Source organism: Homo sapiens, chromosome 7 (assembly GCF_000001405.40).
Source record: "Homo sapiens chromosome 7, GRCh38.p14 Primary Assembly".
NCBI lineage: Eukaryota > Metazoa > Chordata > Mammalia > Primates > Hominidae > Homo > Homo sapiens.
In genome coordinates this window covers 138,829,881-138,854,333 of record NC_000007.14, presented here as the reverse complement: position 1 = coordinate 138,854,333, position 24,453 = coordinate 138,829,881, and the positions used below count along the sequence as shown (strand labels likewise).

General features: G+C 41.6%; 1 protein-coding gene across 2 annotated transcripts in view, besides 2 other annotated features; it reads left to right on the top strand.

Moving 5' to 3' along the window:
- KIAA1549 overlaps positions 1 to 22,953 on the top strand; it is a 150,009-nt gene extending 127,056 nt beyond the window's left edge. Inside the window, exons 17-20 of one of the 2 annotated variants that reach the window (NM_020910.3) lie at positions 2,065 to 2,111; positions 9,860 to 10,017; positions 14,056 to 14,201; positions 16,222 to 22,953. In NM_020910.3, coding sequence (NP_065961.2) covers positions 2,065 to 2,111; positions 9,860 to 10,017; positions 14,056 to 14,201; positions 16,222 to 16,428 — 558 coding nt within the window. In that variant the 3' untranslated portion in view covers positions 16,429 to 22,953. Of the gene's footprint in view, positions 1 to 2,064; positions 2,112 to 9,859; positions 10,018 to 14,055; positions 14,202 to 16,173 lie in introns of both variants that reach the window. The other variant, NM_001164665.2, reaches the window with a different exon arrangement.
- Positions 22,076 to 22,370: a silencer, noted in NCBI's record as "tiled region #5807; HepG2 Repressive non-DNase unmatched - State 23:Low, and K562 Repressive DNase matched - State 21:Repr". NCBI's record gives its function as "represses a minimal TATA promoter and a strong SV40 promoter by Sharpr-MPRA in HepG2 and K562 cells {active_cell/tissue: HepG2 | K562}" and the evidence as "EXISTENCE:reporter gene assay evidence [ECO:0000049][PMID:27701403]".
- Positions 23,451 to 23,950: an enhancer, noted in NCBI's record as "H3K4me1 hESC enhancer chr7:138515129-138515628 (GRCh37/hg19 assembly coordinates)". NCBI's record gives its function as "activates a minimal SCP1, AML or CMV promoter by ChIP-STARR-seq in primed H9 embryonic stem cells {active_cell/tissue: H9 hESC(primed)}" and the evidence as "EXISTENCE:reporter gene assay evidence [ECO:0000049][PMID:30033119]".

Genomic DNA, 24,453 nt, shown 5'->3' with positions numbered 1-24,453 from the left:
CTGAGACACTTCACAAGCAGACCTTACTGTCTGGTTGCTTTACCTCGGGCCTATCCCAGACTCTACCAACCATCTAACTTGCCTTCCTCACTCTGTCGGCCTGTGTTTTATACTGAATAGAAAAAAGGGATGCATTAAAGTGGGATTTTTATATACCTAGCTGATTGAAACCTTCAAATGCAATTTTGTTTCCCAAACTTTTATGTAGGTGTGATCCATCCTGCAACAGAATCAGAGAAATTCTGTCTGTCATTTTTTTTTAAACCTTTTCATCAGGGCATGTAGTCCCTAGAAATATGACATTCTTTTTCTGATGAGAATAGAGTTGAAATCCTCACACTACAAAGATACAACAGATAATAAGCGGACAGCTATTTTTCATTGTTTTTCTCTTAATATGCCACTAAGAACTCCTGAGACTTTGGTAGGTAAACTGGTAAGCATTGACTTTTTTTTAGATTTTGCATATGAATATGCTTTAAAAACCCATACTGTGCCGAAAGCACCAGCACTGTGAATAATCTCTATGTAGTCTCAGATTTCCCTTTAATTATTTGGAAAAGGAATGGAAGCTTCTTTTCCTTCTCTTTCTCCCTTCCTCCATAACCCTCTTTCCCTTGTTTTGCCTCAGTTGGGGAACTCCACAAGGTTCCACATGACAGCCAAGGGGATGGAAGCAGAGAGAGTCAGAAGGTGAAGTAATCTGACCACGGTTTCATATTTAATAATCCCCTTAGAACTCTGTGAATGTGGAGATCGTTATATTCTCTTGGCATAAAGGAATAGGCCCAGGGATGTTAAGCCAGTCTGTGTGACTCCAAAGCCTCTACTTTTTCCCCTCACAAAATAGATATTTGTTCACAGGAGAGTGTCTTGTTTTGGAAACCATGGGCAGTGCAGGGGGATTGGTGAGAAGCATGGTCTTTGGAGTCCAAAAGACATTAGGAAGAAATCACCTAATTTCTTTGTGAGTTGGTTTCATTTATAAAACAGAGGCAGTGAGTACTTTTTAGTGATGTTGTGGGCCTAGGTTAATGCTCATACAATGCTTAACTCAAAATACTAATTCAGTAAATGACAGCTTGTAAAAAGAAAGATGTTATATTAGAGCAACTTCAGAAGCAAGGCTGACTTAGACCTAACTTAGACAAACCATTGGTTCCAACTGACTGCCGCTGGACAGACTCTGCCCATAGTTACTGTTCTTCTGAAATATCTAATTCCAAAAGGAACAATTCACAGTTATTGAAAAGAAATGTTGAAATAAGAGTCCCATGTATATTAGGGTTAGGATATATTGATTTCACCAGGAATACAACAGATCTCTTAGATGTATGTTTCCTTAAATCATGTGGCATATTGTTTTAGTCAAAGAACATTTGGCTAGTTCAGGTTAGCTCAAGTAAAAAGAGTTGATTGAAGGATACGGGGGCACCTTATGGAACTTAAGGGCAGAAAATATAGCCGGGTCTCCTGGGGACCAGTAAACGGTCAGAAACAGAACGTGCTGCCTTCGTCTTGTAGAGTCTCTCTAGTTTCTGGTTTTCTTTTTTTGCAGCATTCTGCAACATGAGACAGCATTTGATACTTGAGTTGCTTGAGGTATTTGAATAGGTACTGGGCAGCCACTGGGTCTCGCTGACCTTTGTGGCTCATGTGGTTGGAGTCACTTGTGCTAATTGTGGGCATTCAGGCCTGCCTTTTAGCAAAAGATATGAGGCCTTTTAGCAGAAGATACAGGTTTGCAGCAGAAGATACAGATGGATCTGTGGGGAAGAGCAGGCACAGCAAGCCTGTCAGCTATTCATATTTATAGTTGTAATATACAAAAGAAGGAAAGATCTAGAAATGAGTTGTGTGTTTTCTAAAGTCTGGTAGTGCAGGTCCTCGAACCGAAACTTGTAGCATCACTTGGTGGCAGAGTGCCCGGTAACATGCTAAGTTTTAATGAGAAAATAATTCTCTTGAAAGTTGATCCTGTAAAGCTGAATTTATAAGTTTGCTGTTGTCACTTTATAATAAGTATTGAATATTAATCTTCATGTTCTTTTGTATGTCTTCCAGAGATACGAAGACTATGGAATGACTCCCCCGACGGGTCCATTGCCAAGGTAAGGTTTTCAAAACAAAATGTATTATCACTTTCTCACATAGGCTGTTTTTAAAAACTTTATAAACTCACTAATTTTAGCTAATATGAGCAGATGTAAAACTCTGCGTTGTATATTCTCTTGATCTAACCAGAAGAGGAGGGAAAAATAGTTGGAATTTAAGTTCTGTTCCAGTAATGACAGGCTAGGTAATTTGGACCAACTCTCCTGCTGAGGACAACTGGAAAAGCTGAACAAGATATTAACATTAAAAACCCCACAGAGTTAACAGGGCAGTGAAGCGGTATGAGACCAAGATCCAGGAAATCCAGAGGCATGAGCCCTGCTTCTTGGGCCACTTTTTCCCCAGGGACACCTGCGGATTCCAGAAGAAGCACCTAGGAAGCCAGGCAAAGCCTTTGACAGACTCATGGGGCTGGGAGCACGAGGGGAGACCCTGGTAAACATCCAGAGGTTTTGAGTTTGGAGGTTATGCTCTAGGAGTAAGGGTGAATCATAAGTAGATCAGTCCCTGCAGGAAGTAAAGCTCAGCTTTGAAAGTTGATTAGGGTTGCTCCCTGGCAGAAACAAATGAACATCCCTTTTAGAAGAAGATTACATCACTCTTGGCCTTATATTATTGCTACAGTAGCCCCCCTTCCACACACACCCCCACACCCACCCCCAGGCATATGAGAAGAAAAGAAAATACAGGTTTTTTTTTAATTAGAAAGAAATAGACAATAGAAGCAGAACTACAGGGGATCCAGATATTGGAGTTATCAGACACAGATTCTAAAATAATTATGCTTAATATGGAGATAAGGTCCATTGTCCAGGAAGATGTAAAAGTGCTACTTTATGTTAGACTGTTATAAGTGAAGGATTCTAGTGTAGTTCTAGGCTCACTAAAGAATGCTTAAATATAAAATAATAAGGAAGAGCAAAATAACTTAAAGATAATCCAAAAGAAGGTAGGAAATAGGAGAAAAAAGAACTTAGAATTTACAGGACATGCAGAAAGAAAACTTAAGATGGTAGATATCTAAATTCAGATCTATAATGAATTACATTAAATGTTAATAACTAGGTATTTCAATTAAAAGACAAAGATTATTAGATTTGATTTTTAAAAAATGTATTTGGCTTATGAGCAACACATCAAAAAATGTAAAGATACAGAAAGGATATAGAAGATTGGAACAACATGATTAATCAATTTGACCTAATTGACATATATAGAACCCTGGACTCAACTGTAAAATACAGCTTCCTTTAAAATACATTTTAAAAATTTACCATATGCTGGACCATAACAAATCTTAAAAAATTTCAAGAAGTGAAATCACTCAGAGTATATTTGCTAATCCTAGTAGAATTAAGTTAGAAACCAAAAATAAAAGATAAAACCCAAAACTATAAAAACCTTGGAAGACATCCTAGGCAATAGCATTCTGGACATAGGAGTGAGCAAAGATTTCATGATGAAGACGCCAAAAGCAATCACAACAAAAGCAAAAATTGACATATGGGATCTAATTAAACTTCAGAGCTTCTGCACAGCAAAAGCTCTAGTTTGCAAATATTTTCTCCTATTCTGTAGGCTGTCTGTCCTATAGAATGGGAGAAAATATTTGCAAATTATGCATCTGACCGAGGTTTAATATCCAGCATCTATAAGGAACTTAACAAGAAAAAGAACAAACAACCTCATTAAAAAGTGGGCAAAGGACACAGACAGTTTTCAAAAGGAGACTTACATGCAGCCAATGAGCATATGAAAAAAGCTCAATATCACTGATTATTAGAGAAATGCAAATCAAAATTACAATGAGATACCATCTCATACCAGTCAGAATGGCTATTATTAAAAGGTCGAAAATAACAGATGCTGGTGAGGTTGTGGAGCAAAGGGAATGCTTGTTGGTGAGAGTGTCAATTAGTTCAACTGTTGTGGAAGGCAGTGTGGCGATTCCTCAAAGACATAAAAACAGAACTACCAACTGGTGTCAGAAAACAGCAGCACAGAGTGGATCCAGCACAGACCAGACTGTCACAGAAAAGATGCTTCATAAAATGTGTTTTGATTAGTATATTTAAATAAATATAATTTAATTGATGTTAAAAAAACAAAACTACTGTTTGACTCAGCAATTCCATTAATGGGTATATACACAAAGGAATATAAATTGTTCGGCTGTGAAGAAACATGCATGCAAATGTTCACTGAAGCACTGGTCACCAAAGCAGAGACATGGAATCAACCTAAATGCCCATCAGTGACAAATCGGATAAAAAAAAAGTGGTACGCATACACAATGGAATACTATGCAGCCATAAAAAAGAGCGAAATCATGTCTTTTGCAGGAACATGGATGGAGCCAGAGGCCGTTATCCTTAGCAAACTAATGCAGGAACAGAAAACCAAATACTACATGTTCTCACTTATAAGTGGGGGCTAAATGATGAGAACTCATGGACACAGAGAGGAACAACAGACATTGGGGCCCACTTGAGGGTAGAGGGTGGGAAGAGGGAGAGGAGCAGAAAAAATAACTATTGGGTACTAGGCTTAGTACCTAGGAGATGATGAAATAATCTGTACCACAAACCCCTGTGACTTGAGTTTACCTATATAACAAACCTGCACATGTACCCCTGAACCTAAAATAAAAGTTAAAAAAAAAAAAGAAAATTTCTATGTGTTTGCAAATTAATTAGTACTCTTGTAAGTAACCTGCAGTACCCTGAAGAAATCAAAATGGAAATCAAAACATCCTAAAATGAATAATAATGAAAATATAACATGTCAAATGTTGTGAGGTGCAGCTATAGCAGTGTTTAGGGGGGAAGTTTTGCCTTAAATGCATATATTGGAAAGCAAAGTGGCTGAAAAATCAGTGATCTAAGCATTGACCTCAAGATGTAAAAAAAGATGATCCAATTAAATGTAAAGGAAGTAGATGGAAGGAAATATTAAAAATAATAATATAAATTAATGAAATAGAAAATAAATACCACATTAAGAGAGGATCAATAAAACCAAAAATTTGTTCTTAGAAAACTAATAAAATTGATAGACTCGCACAAGCTTGATCAAATAATCTGTGCAACAAATTATCAATAAGAAGAATGAAAAGGACCCATTAATCCAGATCTTACAGACATTAAAAAGGAGATTTTATGAACCCATTTTTGTTAATAAATTTGGGGCTGGATGCAGTGGTGCATGGTTGTAATCCCAGCTACTCTGGAGGCTGAGATGGGATGATTGCTTAAGCTCAGGCGTTTGAAACTACCCCAGGCAACATAGTGAGACCCTGTCTCAAAAAATTTTTTTTCTGTAATGGAAAAATTCCTAGAAAGAGAAAACTTGAATAGTCATGTAACTATGTTTAAAGTGGAAATCATAATTACAGTTCTTCCCACAAACAAAACTCCAGGCCCAGGGGACTTCAGCAGTGAATTCTGCCAAACACTGAAGGAGGGAAAGGTACCAGTATTATACAAACTCTTCTAAAAAAATAGAAAAAGAACACTTCTCCGTTCATTTTATGAAGCCAACATCACCTTGATACGAGGGACAAGGGCAAGAAGGACAAGGACATTGCAGGAAAAGAAATTGAGGGCCAGTTTCTCATGAACATAGATATAAAAAAATTGAAACTAAATATCAGTGAGCATAACCAGCAGTAGACACAAAAGGATCTCATATTACAACCACATTGGATTTCTTTCCAGCAGTGTAAGGATGATTTAGCATTTAAAAACCAAGCAGTGTAAGTTACCACTTTAAGGAGAATAAAGGAGGAAAATCTTGTCATTTCAATAGATACAGCAGGTGGTAAAATTCAACATCCCATCATGGTAAAAATCTTAGCAAACAAAGAATAGAAGTGAACTTCTCAATTCTGATAAAAGGTATCTTGGCAAATATTACTCAATGGTGAAATGTTAAAAAGCCTTCCCTCTGAGAGCTGGAACAAGACAGAAATGCCTGCTCACATGACTTCTATTCAAAATTGCTCTGTAACAAGGCAAGAAAAACACAAAAAGAGTAAAGAATTCAAAGAAAGGAGTAATACTGTTATTATTCACAGATGATGTAATTCTGTAGTAGCAAATCCTAAAATGTCAACACACAAATTGTTAGAATTTAGGGAATTTAGCAAAATTGCTAAATAGCAAGCCAACTAAATTTCAAAATAACGATGTAAAATCAGTATACAAAAATCTGTTTTATTTCTGCATATAAGCAACAAACAGAAAAGAAAAAAATTTCAAAGATGTCATTTAAAATAACACTTAGAATATAAAACACCTCAGAATAAATCTAACCAAAGACTTTTAAGCCCTCTAAAGAAAGATGTTCACAGATTGGACAACTCAGTATTTTAAAAATGTCATTTCTCCCCATGTGATTTGTAGATTCAATGCAATCCCATTCAGAATCCCAGTAATTCCTTTTTAATATGTGGAAACCGACAGATGGATTCTAAAATTTATCTGGAAATGCAAAGGGCCAAGAATAGCCCAGACACTTTGAGAAAGAAGAAGGAGGTGTTAGGACCATTCTAAATATTGTGCATTACTGTCAAGTGATTAAGATGGTACAGCATTGCTGTGAGGCTAGAGAAATAGACCAGTCGACAAGCTATGTGTGGACACTGGTTTATTACAAAGCTGGCATTGCAATAAAACAGAGTGAATCTCAGAAACCAAACCCAGCCATCCCTTCAGTGACCAGAAGTCACACCCAAGTAGGAATGTTATCTGCTTCCTACTTATTTTTCTATTTTTTAAACCATCATCATTTTCAGAGGGGTTTGCTTTGCTTTTCTCCGCCCTTCCTCCCCTACCACACAGCTTTGTGATCCAAAAGCAGCAAAGGTAAAACTGGCGAGGTGAGCTTAGGTGATACAGGGCAGAAGTTAGAGATGGGGGACCATGACTGGTCCAGTTACCCAAGTTAGTCCCATTATTAATAGCTTTTACCCTCAGAAGTGTTGTGGTGTGGATGATAAATTGTATAATCACCCACTTTAAAGGATTTTAGAGTGTTGGATTGCAAAACATGTTAAGAATAGAGGGATGGAAATGTTGGCAAAAGGTGGGGGAAAGTAGGGAGAATTAAGTGAATGGCAAGAGCTAGTTTGTGGGTGGATGGTCCAGAGACTGTGATTAGGTGAGGTGTGGGCTCCGGTTTACAGTTCTTGAAGGAGGAGCATGCCTCACGGAAGGCTCTTAGATCTATAAAGTCAGGGATGTCACACATCCCTCTCTGAGGCCAATCTAAAACAACAGCAGTTATTTAAAGAGAGTTACATAGGTAGCCTGGGTTTCAGTTTATGAGATATACTCTAGAAATAACACTGGAGAATAAGTGCAAGTCAGCCTACATTCTCACCAAACTGGTTACATCTGTGAATTAGTGGTTCAGTGTCATTTGCAAAGAACTGTAGCAGACTATTATCTTTTTTTTCTTGAATTTCTTCAGAAGAGTGGTTCTCAAGGTGAAGTTCTCAGACTCCTGGAGGGTGCTTGAGACCCTTTTGGGGGAGGGCGTGTCTGTGAGATCAAAACAACTTTCATAATATTACTAAGATATTATTTCCCTTTTTTCCATTGTATTGACATTTGTACAGAAGTGCAAAAGCAATGGTGGGTGAAACTGCTAGTCGTCGTCTTTTTTTTTTTTTTTTTTTTTTTTGAGATGGAGTCTTGCTCCATCACCCAGGCTGGAGTGCAGTGGCATGATCTCCGCTCACCGCAACCTCCACCTCCCAGGTTCAAGCGATTCTCATGCCTCAGCCTCCTGAGTATCTGGATTACTTGTGCGCGCCACCACGCCTGGCTAATTTTTGTATTTTTGGTAGAGATGGCGTTTCACCATGTTGGCCAGGCTGGTCTTGAACTCCTGACCTCAGGTGATCTGCCCGCCTTGGCCTCCCAAAGTGCTGGGATTACAGGCATGAGCCACCGCACCCGGCCAAAACTGCTCGTCTTTAGCATGCATCCAGGCAGTGCCACCAAATTGTATGAGTAGTCATCATATTCTTCACTGCCCTGTAATCACAGTTTTAAAAATGTGATTTATTAATTAAAAATTTATGTTAGCATGTCCTTGGTGAGGCAGTCAAAATCATAAATCTTATTAAACCTGGACCCTTAAGTCTTTAGTAGTCTGTGTGACAAAAGAGGAAATATATAGAAAGCATTTCTGTGGAATATGGAATTTTGAAGAAAAGCCCTTGCTCCCATTGTTTGAGTGGAGACTGAACTGAACCAACTGCTTTTGTGCTTTTTACTTGAACAAACAGCTGGCAGAAGTGGTTATTCAGACTCGGGTGTTTGGCAGACACTGTCTTGAAAATGAATGAAGTGAGCCTGTCACTTCAAGAAAAACAACTGCCAGTATTTGTTGCTAATGATAAAATGAGCTTTCAAGTGAAAATTTGAATTTTGGGAACTTGTCTGCCTGCCACTGTGAACTTGACAACTTCCTAGCACCGAGAGACTTTTCTGGATGAGTTTGATGATGAGATTAATGAATGGGATTTTTCGATACTGCAAAATGAGAGGTAACAATATCGAGAAGGTTGCATAACTCAGTGAACTATGTTCCAAATGACAGATGTCATAAAATCAGGCATGAGTTAGAGATCCCTTCAAAGTGCAAGATGGAGCTATGGGTTTTAGCGTAACAGAGTACGAAAAGTTCACCAGTATCATTTCAGATTCCATATTGCAACTGACCCCTGAGGAACTACCACTTGTGGAATTTTTGTGTGGTAGCAAGAAGAATGCCTGCAATATTTTTTTAAGATGATCTAAAAGGGCTATTAAAATACTCCTTCCTTTTCCAACTATGTATTCTCTGAAGCCAGATTTTCTTCCTAACATCCAGCAACTGACAGGATGCAAACTCTATGAGAATCCTTCTGTTAAGGACATTTGAACAATATAGCACTACTCTTCTCACTACTTTTTTTTGAGGGAGGATTGATGAATAGTTAATTTCATGAAAAGTATTATGTTAATATATGTTTAATTGTCATTTGTAAATAAATTTTTAAAATAAATACTTACTTTTTTTCCATTTTAATTTCTAATCTGGTAAATAGCGATACAATCCACAGAAACAAAAGCTCTTGGGAGTCCTCAATAATTTTTATGAGTCAAAAGAGGTCTGGAGATAAAAAAAAGTTTGCGATCCGCTGCTTTAGAACACTGGTTTTCAGCCTTGATGGACAGCAGGATCGTCTGTAATTTTAAAAGTTACCACTGTGGAGCTTGCAGTGAGCCAAGATTGCGCCACTGCACTCCAGCCTGGGGGACAGAGCGAGACTCTGTCTCAAAAAAAAAAAAATTACCGCTGTGTTGGTCTCGCCCCTAGTGTTTCTGTTTCAATTCGTCTGGGGTGCAGTGTGAGCGTCGTGATTTTTTCGGGCCCGCCAGGTGATGCAGACGTGTAGCCAGGGGTAGGAAGCACAGGACGAGGCAGATGCTGGAGATGAGCAGGCCCTGGCTTTTGTCAGCATCAACTGTATTGCAGGCGCTGTTCTAGTGCTGGAGGTAGGGCAGTGAACAAATAGAAAAGTCCCTTCCCTCAGGGAGCAGGAGAAACATCTCTTCCCCTTCCAGGAGAGGAGATGGCTAAGCAGGTAGACAAATAAGTGTTACCTTCTGTAAGGTTGGGGGTGGACCTCATGGAATACCAAGGCCAGGGTGCAGTGGAGTCCTGATGTGCTGGTTTGCTTTGCCTTCAGACCAGGTTTTGGCCCCGGTTTGCTGCAGTCTACAGAGCTGGTGCCCCCTGACCCTCAGCAGCCACAGGCCTCCGCCGAAGCCCCATTTGCTGCCAGAGGGATCTACTCGGAGGAGATGCCGTCGGTGGCCCGGCCTCGGCCTGTCGGGGGTACCACAGGTATATGTGGCTGTTTAGCTTCCATTTCTGAGCTACGGGACATTTACTTGAAAGAAACTTTATTTTAGGTGTCTCAGAGTGTCAGTGTGCAGAGGCCTCTGCCACTGCTGTTTCAGGGCTGTTTCCCCTCATATCCTGACCGAGATGGAGGCGGAGAGAGAGGCGGAGCTCCCAAAGCTGCTGTCTGCTGATTGGCTCTGGAACCAGGCCCTTCATGTGAAATTCACGGCACGCTTCCTCCAGGAAAAACGTTTCCAAATCCTTACTGTAAATGGAAAGATCTAGGTCTGAGCACTTTGGATGGCATGAAAACAAGAGTTAGTTTTCAAGAAGGTGCTTTTTTCAGCTTGTAACGAACGACTCTCAAAGTCTGGGTGACAGAGCAAAACTCTTATCTCAAAACAAAACAAAAGCAAGTAGTTTAAGCCAATTCCAAATTTGCAATAATTGGTGGATATTTTTTCATTATGGTTTTTCTAGGAAATTCTTTTATTTTGCATTGTCTATTACTCAGCAAAAAAATAGTGTGTCCTGGAATCCTGTAGGTTTTCCTGAACTTTACAGGTGCTTTGCTTTGCAGTGAATCTTGATTCCCCTGCTAATTTTAGGTATTTGAACCTCCCTACATGGCATGCGTACTAAGCAAAATTCAGATGTATTAATTTTTAGTTTAAAATCTGAACGAATATAGAAATTATACATGTTTGATAACATTCAAAAGGAAATTATTTTTAAATTTCTATTAGGTGAAATTATGTAAAAACATATAATGGAAAATGTTAAGATCTATTAGAAGGATTACCTTTTTAACTATAGAAAATTATGAAGCATGTATTTGTCTGAAAATTGCCAGTTATTTTCAAAAAAAGAAAATAGTACCTAGGAGAAATTTACAGCACCTCACGATCAAGAAGTATTTTTATTGTAGAAGATACCTCATATAAATTAAGTGGGCCAACCTGAAAAGATCAGTGGGAGGAGGAAAAAGGTCCAGTTTTTAAATTATTTTAAAATTGCAAATTAACACCATAATGCACCATTTCAATCATGAAATTATTTTTATAATAATGTGGCATGGTAAAGTTAGCATCCAGTTTCTTCATCTATATGTACTGGGAATATTCGTACTTACCTCCTTGGTTGTTTAGCTGATAAAAGAAGATGACAGAAGTGCTCAAAATAGTGCCTAGCATAGCATAAACTTTCAATAAATATTAGCTGCCATGACCATTGTCACTATTATTTTCAGTGGTGGCATAAATTATTAAATTTTTGGAAGGCAGTTTGGCGGTAGGACTTACAGAGCCTTTGATTTGGTAATTCCAGTTCTGGAAATCCAGGCTCACTCTCCTAAAATCCAAAATATTGGGGGAAAATGACGTGCCAAGATATTTATCACGGCATTATTTGCATAATAGCAAAGAATTGTTAGTTTCCCCAGATACTCAGTAGTAAGGGCATCCTTGAGTAAATCCTGCAGCTACTTAAGATGAAGAGGTCATAAAAAGCCAGAAAAGGGGGATTTGAGATTTACCAGTTGCCTCCTATGTGTTTGATGCTTCATCTGTTTTATGTCTTTTAATCCTTGAAATAACCCTCTGAGGTAGATTTTTTTTTTTTTTTGAGACAGAGTTTTTGTTCTGTCGCCCAGGCTGGAGTGCAGTGGCACAGTCTCGGCGCACTGCAACCTCCGCCTCCTGTGTTCAAGCGATTCTCCTGCCTCAACCTCCCAAGTAGCTATGATTAGGATTACAGGTGCCCGCCACTGCGTCCGGCTAATTTTTGTATTTTTGGAAGAGACAGGGTTTCACCATGTTGGCTAGGCTGGTCGTGAACTCCTGACCTCAGGTGATCCGCCCGCCTCAGCCTCCCAAAGTACTGGGATTACAGGCGTGAGCCGCTGCACCCAGCTGAGGTAGATTTTTTATTCCTGCTGGAGAAGTGAGGAATCAAGGCTCAGCGGTAGCCATAGCCCGTTGCTCAGGGTCACATGGCTTGTCGATGGCTGAGCTGGAATGCAAACCCCGGCTTGCTGGGCTCAATGCTGACTCATGGGGGAAGCCTGTGCTGTATAGTTAAGTGAACAACACAGGATACAAAATCCTACCGAATGATGATTTCAGCTACTGGAGTGGCTTTACACAGAAGGTGTGCTTTTCTCCCTGTGCAGTTGGTTGAGCCTTTGGAAACAGGGAACACCGCGCTGCTCTTGCAGCATTTTGCAAGATTTGCTCAAACAACGTCTGTTGGGCAAGGAGTGCTGGTAGTCCTGATCATTTTAATACTGTTAGGATTTTTCAGTAACTGACCTGGTGCTCCAGTAGAGTGCATTGCTCTGCCCAGAGCCAGGACAGCTTTTCCTGACTTTTAGTTATCATTAAATATCCGAATAAAACCATCGAGGAGTTCTTTTTTTTTTTTTTTAAATGTGGTTGATTAATTGAGGTTGTCGGTCAGGTACGATAGCTCACAGCTATAATCCCATCATGTTGGGAGGCCAAAGTGGGAGGATCAGTTGAGGCTAGGAAGAGTTCAAGACCAGCCTGGCCAACATAGTGAGACCCCATCTCTTAAAATAAAGAATTGAGAGAATGGAGGTTATTAATTAGACAACTAGAGTAGGAATAGACTTAAAGACGGAGGAGGTGCCTCCTTTAGATATGGACGCTTGGAGCCTTTGTGGTTCCAGTCTGAGCATCACTGGTGAATTTGATGAAATTTCCAAATTTAGAAATAAGTATTCTATTTCACAGTGCTTAAGGATCACTTTGTTCGCCCTTAATTTGCAATATAGGTATATTTCCATACGACAGAAGTTGGTGAGGGAGAAAAACATTGTGTATTACCTGGCTTCCATAGCCACAGGAGGCTGCAGATGTCTGGGTATAGGGGGGTAATTAGCTCTAGAGAGTCCTCTGGCTCTGCCATCAGCTCACCGCACCAGTGAGGCTGGGGGAGTGGTTTTAATTGTCTTGTGGCTACATTACAGACACAATATGGGTTATAATGAAAATATACTTCAATATGCTGAATTTAAATAGATACGTATTCTGCCTTTTAAGGGGAAAAAAATAAGCATATTGTATAACCAGCTCCTTGTGAATCTCGAAGCCACAAGCAAGAAAGAGCCAGGCTTCAGCTTCATGGTGGCTCCCAAACCTGTCACCCCTTTCTTAATAAATGAGCTGCTCCTTGTTGGTAACTGCCACAGAGATGAATGGAAGTACCTTCTGTGGTACCGTTTATCCCCAGTCCTAATGTCTAGCCACGAAAATAAGGGCATCACTGTCAGCCTCTGAATTAAAAGAAAATCAGAGTCCAGGAACCAAGAAGCTTATGGTCTGTTGCTCTTAGGAAATGCCATTTCTGGAGATAGAACTGGTACCAAGTCATGATCCCTTGTCCTTAAGGAGTGCAGTGATCAGAGCTGACAGTGTCTTCTGACAGGGTGTTTCCAAAACAGTTGCATCAGGGGTGGGATTGTGGTTCCACTGGGGCTGTTGTGGTGCTCACAGGGAGGAGGGGTCACCCTCACACAGTGTTTCAGGAGAGGAGCCCGTGGGCTTTCTGATGGGCTGGTAGAAGTGCGCAGGAAAGAGGAGTGGCGCATAGGGTGTAGGTTTTTAGATCTGAGCAAGTAGGGCTGCACAGCCCTGGGTGGAAATGGGGAGGGCGAAATGGGGGACAGACTTAGGCTTAGGGATGAATGTCACGGGGTCAAGAATTCTGTTTCAGACTTTTTTTGCAATGGGATTTTCTTCTTTTATTTGTTTATTTTTATTGCTTGGTCCACGGTGCTTCGTGGTACATTTTCCTACCGCTTCGTGGTGCATTTCCTTACCTATGGGACCCTCAGGAAATGCTGACAGTATGGCAGTTGAGGTGAGATTTCTGGAGATAGAACTGGTACCAAGTCCTGATCCCTTGTCATTAAGGAGTGTAGTGGTCAGAGTTGACAGTGTCTTCCTCGGCAGCCATCCTCAGCAGCCATACTCTCCTATAAATGTTGACCAGGCCACTCCACCATGTTCCTTCCAGGCTCCCAGATCCAGCACCTGACACAGGTGGGGATTGCCAGCAGAATTGGAGCTCAGCCAGTGGAAATCCCGCCAAGCAGAGGCAGCCAGTATGGGGGGCCAGGCTGGCCTTCGTACGGGGAGGACGAAGCGGGGCGAAGAGAGGCCGTGAGTATCTCCTGTTTGGGTCATCATTTAAAATTTAGACATAGGCCAGGTGCGGTGGCTCACACCTGTAATCCCAGCACTTTGGGAGGCCGAGGCGGGCGGATCACGAAGTCAGGAGTTTGAGACCAGCCTGGCCAATGTAGTGAAATCCCGTCTCTACTAAAAATACAAAAAAAAATTAGCCAGGCGTGGTGACGGGTGCTGGTAGTCCCAGCTACTTGGGAGGCTGAGGCAAGAGAATCACTTGAACCCGGGAGATGGAGGTTGCACTAAGCCGAGATCGTGCCACTGCACTCCAGCCTGGGTGACAGAGTGAGACTGTCTCAAAAAAAAAAAAAAAAAAAAAAAAAAAAAGACATAATCCCTCAATTTAGCAGCTTCTGCTTTGGGGGGGGTCCCTTTTTAAAACCTACATTTAAAAAAGTTTTAATCTCTCTCACATTTTCCTGCCTCCTGGTGTTTTGGCTTACAGTTTTTAGCATCTAGCTTTTAGGAAGTATATAATTTTTCTTGAGGCAGAGTTCAAGCTTTCAGTAGTAAATTCGAATCTATAGGTGACAACTCTGGAGTTCATGTTTGGCGGGATTGCTGTATAAATATTCATGCTCTTCCACAGCATTTGTGTTTCACTGTGGGTTTGTTAATGTCATTTGTATTATGACCATGTGTAGGTAATTTTGTAATAAGCACACAGTTGGGGACATTTTAAGGCACAGGTTTTCTTTTTGAGACTTCTGTTCACTCAATATGAGCATCGGTAATTCCTACAAGTGCTTTCATTTGCTTTTCTCAAGAACTGTATATCTTGGGGGGATAAATTCATGAAGTTTGAAAATAACCACCCAGAATATTACTTTTTGTTTTCTCCTTATCGTTATGCTACAGTGTCTGTTGCATTTCTGTGCCTTCCCAACAGACACACTCAATTCCTTTCATGGCTGGATGCTCTTACCTAGTAAAAAGACATTAACTTTAGAATAAGGTGCTTCCCTAAAAGAGACATTGTTATACTTAGAGTCTCAGGTATCTGCTTTAAGTTTGCTGCCATTTCTCTTTTTTTGCCTTCATTTTGCCCAGCTTAGCTTCATGAGGTGTTTGGGGTTGGTTTTGGTGTTTTGTTTTTTTGAAAAAATGGAGGCAAGGTCTCACTATGTTGGCCAGGCTGGTCTTGAACTCCTGGCCTCAAGCAATCCTCTCTCCTTGGCCTCCCAAAGGATTGGGGTTACAAGTATGAGACACCGTGCCTGGCATGGTGTGTTAAGGTTTTCCTGTCACATCCACTTTGGAACACTGCTCGGTCACTATTTGGAGAAGTGAAACGTAGAAAGAACCTAGAGCTGGAATGTCATGTTTGGCTCACAAATAACTTAGCCCTAACATGGTTTTTAGTACGCAGATTTAAGTACTCTTACATATAAATGCAAAGAGACATTTATTTCCACTGGGAGAGAAATAAACATGAAAAAAAAATCTGAAAAGTGTAATAATTCTTGTGAAACTCCTGCCAAATTAATCTCTATGCGGCAAATATCAGCAAAACTATTTTATGCTTTAGTGCAGATAAGTTTTTAAAGACAAGGCTCTACAGAGCCCTCAGTAGACACACACTCACGCAGAGACAGGAGACAGACAGCAGCTAGATAAAGCAGAAGATGGTTGCGTAGGCTCCAGTCCAGGGCAGAGGCACCTGTTCCCCTTGTCAGCCTGGCATGGATCCGCTTAACCTCCTTCAGCTCTCAGATATCACCCGACCTTTCACATCATGGGGCACTCCAGCCTCCCTCCCTTCTGTTCTCCCCAGCCCCCTGGTGTCTTCACGCCTCACCTGCAGCATAGGCAGCAGGGCCCTGTTAGAGGGCTGAGTTGGTGGATGGACGTGGGCAGTCCTGGGAACCTTCCTAAAGCCAGTTTGCATTTGATGTTTCGGCTTATTCTTCGTAGGAAGTACAGTGACGTTTGCCATGTTTTTCAGACACACATGCTCGGACATCAAGAGTATTCTTCTTCACCGCTATTTCAGGTGCCAAGGACTTCAGGCAGGGAGCCCTCAGCTCCTTCCGGGAACCTCCCCCACCGGGGACTGCAGGGCCCTGGGCTGGGTTACCCCACCAGCTCCACGGAAGACCTCCAGCCTGGCCACTCCTCGGCCTCTCTCATCAAAGCAATCCGCGAGGAGCTCCTCCGGCTCTCCCAGAAACAGAGCACCGTGCAGAACTTCCACAGCTGATCGGCCTCGCCTCGCAGATTTGCCAAGTATCCGCTTCCTGTGGAAGCAAGACCAAAAGGAAATCAACTGAGTGGGTGTTTGGAAGAGGAAGGAGCAACTCTCGGGCAGCCTGCCCAAGGGAGGGAGCAAGTTGCAATTTAGAAGATGCCATACGTCGTGTGACAGCTCATGAGCCTTTCACTGGGCTGGCAATTGTCTGAACACTTGGGTTCAGTTGAAATATATGTATTTTGGCCAAAAGCCAGCAGCACTTCACAAAAACAAAACACAAACCTAAGCTAACAAAATGACTGCATTCGTCTCTTTTTTAAAGGTAGAGATTAAACTGTATAGACAGCATAGGGATGAAAGGAACCAAGCGTTTCTGTGGGATTGAGACTGGTACGTGTACGATGAACCTGCTGCTTTGTTTTCTGAGAAGAGGTTTGAAGACATTTTATTAACAGCTTAATTTTTCTCTTTTACTCCATAGGAACTTATTTTAATAGTAACATTAACAACAAGAATACTAAGACTGTTTGGGAATTTTAAAAAGCTACTAGTGAGAAACCAAATGATAGGTTGTAGAGCCTGATGACTCCAAACAAAGCCATCACCCGCATTCTTCCTCCTTCTTCTGGTGCTACAGCTCCAAGGGCCCTTCACCTTCATGTCTGAAATGGAACTTTGGCTTTTTCAGTGGAAGAATATGTTGAAGGTTTCATTTTGTTCTAGAAAAAAAAAATCCCTCCCAAAGTGGGGCAAAAAGCTTTATATTTATTTGATTATCCAAAATACAGATCAAAGTTTAGATCTACATTCTTCATTGTATTTGCTGTTTCTTAATTGGGCACACACAACTCCTGGTCATGTCCCAGTTCAGCACCGATCGCTAAGGCCGATCCTGTAGAATGCGGCTTTCAAGAGGTCCTAACTGATCCTTTCTTCCACTTTGCTGTTGATTTGTTCACAAATTATGTCTGAATGAGAAATCTTCTGTAAGCAGAAGTTATTTAATAATTCCCAGCACCACGAAATTGTTATACATACATCCCTACCAGTCACATTCCCTGTGTTCAGAGCCTGGAAATGAAATTGAGTTCAGTTCAGCCTCTCTGTAATGAATCAAGAAATGTAAAAGAGCTTTGAGACCCCAAGGGAAAGGAGAGAGTTGCTTCTCATTTCTGATTTTATTGTGCTGTTACTCTGTCGAGTGGCTATTAAAATTGTCTTATGCTCTTTGGGCTAAGAGGGGATCATCTCGCTTAAGATGTACTCCTGATGTAAACATTTCCCCCACTTTCCAAATAATGGTAAAGAAAACAGTGGCAAGGGCTGTTCTGTTTTCTGGTACCTGAGTGAAACTCAGAAGAAAAGCAGGCTTAGCTAAGAGATTTTCACTATTAACCTGTTTTTATTAGATCAGCGAAGACAGTCATGCATCGCTTAATGATGGGGATGCATTCTGAGAAATGTGTCATTAGGCTGTTTTGTTGCTGTGCCAACATCCTAGATTGTACTTACACAACCTACATGGTATAGCCTACTACACACCTGGGCTGTGTGGCATGGCCTATTCCTCTTAGGCTACAAACCTGTACAGCATGTTACTGTACTGAACACAATGGTAAGTATTTGTGTATCTAAACATAGCTAAACATAGAAAAGGTATGGTAAAAATACAATTTTATAATCTTATGGGACTACCATCAATATGTAGACCGTCATTGACCAAAACATCCTGATGTGTGCATGACTGTACTTTTCATTAAATAACAGATAAGGGGCTATAGAATTTGGGGCTCTGACTGATCAAAACCTGTGTATCTGTGTCAAGTTTTAAGACCCCTGAAACAGCTAAAACAGGTTTCCAAAGTGTAATCACTGGATTTCAAAACCATGTTTTAGCCCTTCATTAATGAAGCCTGTTGTACAGATTTAGAGTCTTACAATATGAGGGAAGTTGGTTCTGGGAAGGTAAGATGTAGCCAGTTTTCATCTGGGCACCTCTGAAAGAGAAGGAGTGCAGGAGAGTAAGTCTCTCAAGGACGTTCAACAAAGGACCAGCAGCATCTTATCAGGCGATCCTCAGAGGCTCCAAGGAGCATTGGAGAGAATGCCCCTTTCTGGGCTTGATGTCTTGGTTTTGGTTTAATACCAAATTTCTCTTGGTCTTGGTTTAATACCCGACTCCTCCCAAATTGAACGATTATCTTTGTATGTCACTCAAAAATACCAGGTTTCCTGAATATGTTATTAAGAATTTCAGATATCCAAGCAGAATTTTATTATGGACACCTTGTAATGAATTCAAATCGTGTGACAGCAAACGGGATAAATGGCCCCTTCTCACCCAGTTCCGCTCAGGGCCATACAGGCTTGCACATAGAGTGTGCTAAAAATGGTAACCTCCTTTGAGCATTGCAGAAAGAGGGTTCTGTTTCAAATTGGGCTGACCGTAAAAGCAATTTTGATGTCTTTCAAACTACCATAAAGGGATTTTAACTGTATTTTTATTCTTAGAAACAATACACCTTTAAACAGATGTCAAGACCAAAGATGATGTATAATAAACAGCCGGTGGTTATGGTGTGGTGTGAGCAGGCCCCCGGATCACCAGCCCTCTGCTGGTGGTCATAAAGCACACACAGTTTGTACTTGCTTCCTCTCGACGCCTGCCACAACAGTTTTGCCAGTCACCAAACTCAGAAAAAACTAGCTGTGTGAGCAGCACCGTACCCTAGCGGTCTTCAGACATTAAGTTCACGTCATCCACTGAAAGGAAGGGTCCTTGCGTTGACAGCGTGTGGCTTTGGAGTCCGTTTATGGAAGCACTCTACAATGAACAGTTGAATTTTATGTCTATTCTTTTTTCCTATTTTAAAAGTTCTAGTGGTAACACAAACTGTAAATTTGAGTCAGAATGTTTGGAGAAATGTTGTTTTTTTTTTTTTCAGAGACTACTTTGTCACTCACTGACCATGTCTGGTTCCTTCTCTGAACTTCATTCTCCCCATAAGCCAAACAAGAACAGACCTCCCCCGCCACCTCCCAGGCACCGTAGTTGTGAGAATCAGATGTGATCATGTGTGCAGATGTCCTGTGAGGAGGGAGCATAAAGCACTGTGAAAATGTAGCATGCTGTCTATGTGGACGCCCTAGGATGAGTGATGTGAAACGCTGCACTACTGCGGTGAATGGGTTCACACATGGGTAATGAGCAAAACCGAAAGCTCGGTGTGACTCAGTTTCCTCACTCCCATTTTGCTTTAATTTCACTTCCTTCACCAATTTTCCGATTGCATTTATTAAGCATCTTTCTGCTCCCGACTTTCTGGTGTCTCTGGCACCAAATAACCCAGCAGACATGAGCCTTGCCTTCTGAGATTTTAGAATCTAAGATAGCACGAGTGGGTATAGAAGATGGAAGATACCGATAAATAACATGGTTTAAGTGTCAATAAAATTCATTCGAAGAGATCAGGCGCGGTGGCTCACGCCTGTAATCCCAGCATTTTGGGAGGCTGAGGCAGGTGGATCACTTGAGATCAAGAGCTTAAAACCAGCCCAGGCAACATGGCAAAACCCCGTCTCTACAAAAAAATACAAAAACTAGCTGGGTGTGGTGGCGCATGCCTGTAGTCCCAGCTGAGGCACGATAATTGCTTGAACCCGGGGGGTGGAGGTTGCAGTGAGCTGAGATTGCACCACTGTACTCCAACCTGGGCGACAGAGCAAGACTGTGTCTCAAAAAGAAAAAAATTTGTTCAAAAGACATAAATGAATTAGGCACCCAGAAGAAGTTGCATGTTTGGAAATGCAATATCTTGGGGAGACGTCAACTTCTGAAGTGACTTTGAAGGCAGGGCAGCTACCCAGGCAAATGGCGTGGAAGGAAGAGCTGAGAGTGGGCCTGGGAAAGGCTGTAGGGAAGGAGTGAAGCTGTCACTGAAATGAACTTGATCTTGATCTGCTTTGATATGGGGACAGAATCCCCGACTGCACTATTGAGGGAGTTTCAGAAGAGAAGGAAGAGGTGCTGGAAGGATGCTTTTGCAGTCATGCAGCAAGGAAACGACCAGGGCTGTGAAGATCTACAGAGGAAGTACTCCAGTGTGGGGGAGGCAAGGGAAGAGGACGAAAATGATGAGAATGACACTGAGGTCATTGTTTAGAGCAGATCTCAAGCAGCCGTTTGGCCACGCCATATCCTTTGTGGAGCATAGTGGGTTATCTATCTGTCTGTCTGTCTATGTATCTGTCTATCTATCTATATATATATTCAGCTTCTTTACTGCTACCTACACATTTTTCTCCAAATTTTATTAATTTCATAGTGTTTTGATTTGGGTGGCAGATGACTTTTAAGCAGTGGGTGTTTGCCGGCCAGATCTTTCCTGGCATGCGGACTGTGAGGCAAAGCACGGGTGAAGGTAGGCGCTAAAGGCTTTGGGCTAAAGCCAGCACGCGGTTCTGTGCTATAGGAGTCTCCCGTTTCCCGTGGACAGGTTCAGCGTTCCTTCTTTCGCACAACTTTTTTCTAAGTGTTCCAGTGACCAAGCCAGTCATTCGGACACTGATTTGCAGTGCATTGGCAGTAATTCACAAATTAGTTGTTATATAAGTCTCTCTCATCCCTTTCACACTAGATTCTCAGACATGAATGAATTTGTCGTTTGGAAGGAAAGCTGGGTAACGTTTTGGGCACAGGGGAAGGAGGACTCCGGTCTTAACTCCCACGCTAACTTTAGCTCAAGTGGAGTTTTCACCGTGGTCATTTCTACCTCCGGAGCAAGGTGCCAGCGCCAGTACTAGAGCCTGCTTATCCACATTTGCCCTGGACAGGAGCAGGAGGAAGTCCACTTCTGTACCGGCAGACAGAGCATGTGAACACAAAACACATTTCTATGGCATAGTCAACTGAACTTCATTTTTACATTTAATCTAACATGTTAACACGTTCTAACAGGGTTTCTATGAGCAGCTGCTGTAACATACTCATCAACTATGATAGACTTAACACTTGTTACCTAATGAACAAGGAGGATGTGCATTTCGGGTTTCTTTTGATATTCGTGGAGGTGATTGTCAGTGTTTAAACAGGACTACTTTCTCCACTATGAAGATGACTTGGAAATCGCAACATCATGGTACATTGCTAAGTCCATGCTTGTGTGTGTGACAGTAGGCTTGATAATTTATCTTAAAACACAGCAGCATTGAAATTTAGGAAAAGAATATTAAATGCCTTTGGAAACATGAAACAAAGTTAGGAGCCAGTAAGAAAGTGACAGAAGCAATGAATGTCTTAATGCAGTATAGTTAAAATGGCTTCCCACAGGGTAGATAATTATCCAGGATCCTTCCTTTTCCTTCTTCCTCCAGGTTTTTCAGGGGTCACTTCACATTTCTAAAGAAAGAGTGAATAGGCTGGGCATGGTGGCTCAAGCCTCTAATCTCAACGCTTTGGGAGGCTGAGGCAGGAGGATCGCTTGAGGCCAGGAGTTTGAGACCACCTTGGGCAACATAACGAGACCCCGTCTCTACAAAAAAAATTTAAAAATTAGCTGAGCATGGTGGCATGTGCCAGTAGTCCCAGCTACTCGAAAGGCTAAGACTGGAGGATCGCTTGAGCCAATGAGTTGGAGGCTGCAGTGAGCTATAATCACGCCACTGCACTCCAGCCTGGGCTGCAGGGTGAGGTCCTGTCTCTGGAAAAAAAAAAAAAAAAAAAAGGAATAGGTAAAAGGGACAGAGGTGAAATTTTGAGTGACTTGAGTCTCTTGCAGTCCCTGATTACACAGAACCTTTCTGGGCTACTTGGAGCATCACGAATAGTCTTTCCTGTACTTACCAGATTTCAAGTATTCATAACTTGACTCCCTAAGTGTACAAGTTGGGAATAGTACAGGGCCAAGTTCAAGTCGCATATGCTGTACTGTTCCTCCTGCAAATGTGGGGAAAGAAGAGGGAGATACTAGAGGAACTGAGGCTCCACCCATTCATTCAGTTGCTCTAAGCACCAGAGGACTTGTTTCAGAAAAGGGGAGTGGGAACGCCCTCGACTTTGCCCTCCTCCGGAGCATCTCTGGGACGCAGGGAGTCTGGCTAGCGTTAATAGGAAAGGTTGCTCGGCAGAGCTGCCCTGGAGTACTGACTTGTCTCTCCCTCCTTTGTCAAGGTCCATGTTTTTCTGGCTCTTCCTGCACACTCATCCCTAGATTATGAGCGTTAATGTACGAAATGTGCAGAGCAAATTGAGGCCAACTGTGGCATCAATACTGCAACTTAAACTTGACAATCATGGTTTGCTGGTCCTCAAACAGGCACTGAAATCTCAGTATGGGTATACGATTTAATAATCGGCCCCTCCCTTCTATTTGTCGGTTTTATGTTTCTATCCTTCAATAGCTGCACTGTTTTCTAATGTGCTGTAGAGTTTTTGAAATAATTTATGCAAGTATTTGGTTTCCATGTTTACAATTTATACAGCTTTCCTAGCATTTTAAATGGAAATGTCAATAAATGCTATGAATTGGTGTCAAAGTGATATTTTCTGTTGATTTCCTTTGCAACATGATAGTTTTCTCGTTTGTAAAACATGAAACATTGGATGAGATGATCTTTCTGTTCTCTAATTTTGTGTCTCTGGTGAGAACACCCAGTACTTTTGTTACTGGTGGAGGGTGTCCAGGTTCTTGGCGTCTTGAACAAAGAGTTGGACAAAACACACAAAGCAAGGAAAGAATGAAGGAATTTATTGAAAATGAAAATACACTCCACAGTGTGGGAGCAGGCCTGAGCATAGGGGCTCAAGGGCCCGGTTACAGAATTTGTGGGGGTTTAAATACCCTCTAGGGGTTTCCATTGGTTACTTGGTGTACGCCCTATGTAAATGAAGAGGTTTAAGTAAAGTCACACAGTCATTTACTCGACGTACACCCTATGGAGAGGATGTTTCCTGTCATAGCTGAACTGTGGCTCGGCCTTATGTCCCCTACTCCAGACCCCATTTTCCTGCCTCACTTTCATTGTCCAAGAAATTAAGTTGAAGGTATTCTATTCAGTGTGTGGAATTTGCAGACTTGTTTTCACTCGTTTTTGCCTGTGCCAATCCTTTCTACTCAGTGTAGTTTGACTGCTACCCACTTAGCAAATGGATGAATCCACTAAGAGCAAATTCAGTTTGGAATTAAAAGATTAGTGCCTCACAATTTAGAAAGATGAGAAGACCAAAGTCCACACAGTCTTGAAAGGTAATAGGATAACCCTGGAGTTGTTTACACAACCCAAGAAAACAAGATCCCCTTGAAACTTAGAAAAGGGGATGGGCGCTGTTTCTCACGCCTTAATTCCAGCACTTTGGGAGGCCGAGGTGGGTGGATCACTTGAGGCCAGGAGTTCAAGACCAGCCTGGCCAACATGGCAAAACCCCATCTCTAATAAAAATACCAAAAAAAAATCAGCCAGGCATGGTGGCGGGCGCCTGTAATCCCAGCTACTCGGGAGGCTGAGGCAGGAGAATTGCTTTAACCCAGGAGGCAGAAGTTGCAGTGAGCCGAGATCGCGCCACTGCACTCCAGCCTGGGTGACAAAGTGCAACTCTGTCTCAAAAAAACAAAAACAAAACTTGGAAAAGGAACTCAAAACACAGTGGAATATAACAGCTAAATGACACAGAATCCTGGATAGGATCTTGGAATGACAGCAACAACAAAAGAGAATATAGTGGGAAAACGTGAAATCCAAATCAAGTCTATAGTTAACAGTATTGTACAAAGATTAACGTACTGGTTTTGCTAACTTTATTATGGTTATTGAGATTTTAATATTAGAGGAAGCTATGTAAAAGGTATCCTGAAACCCTCTAAATCATTTTTGCATCTTTTTATCTTTTTTCTAAATCTAAAAGTATTTAAAAATATAAACACGAATCTGGCACAGGTAAAGCCCACAGACCTTCTGCAGAGGCTCATATAATCCTGTCCTGTGCATCCACAACCCAGGGGCTCTGGTACTTCTCAGGGCGAGCTGCTAGCTTTGAAA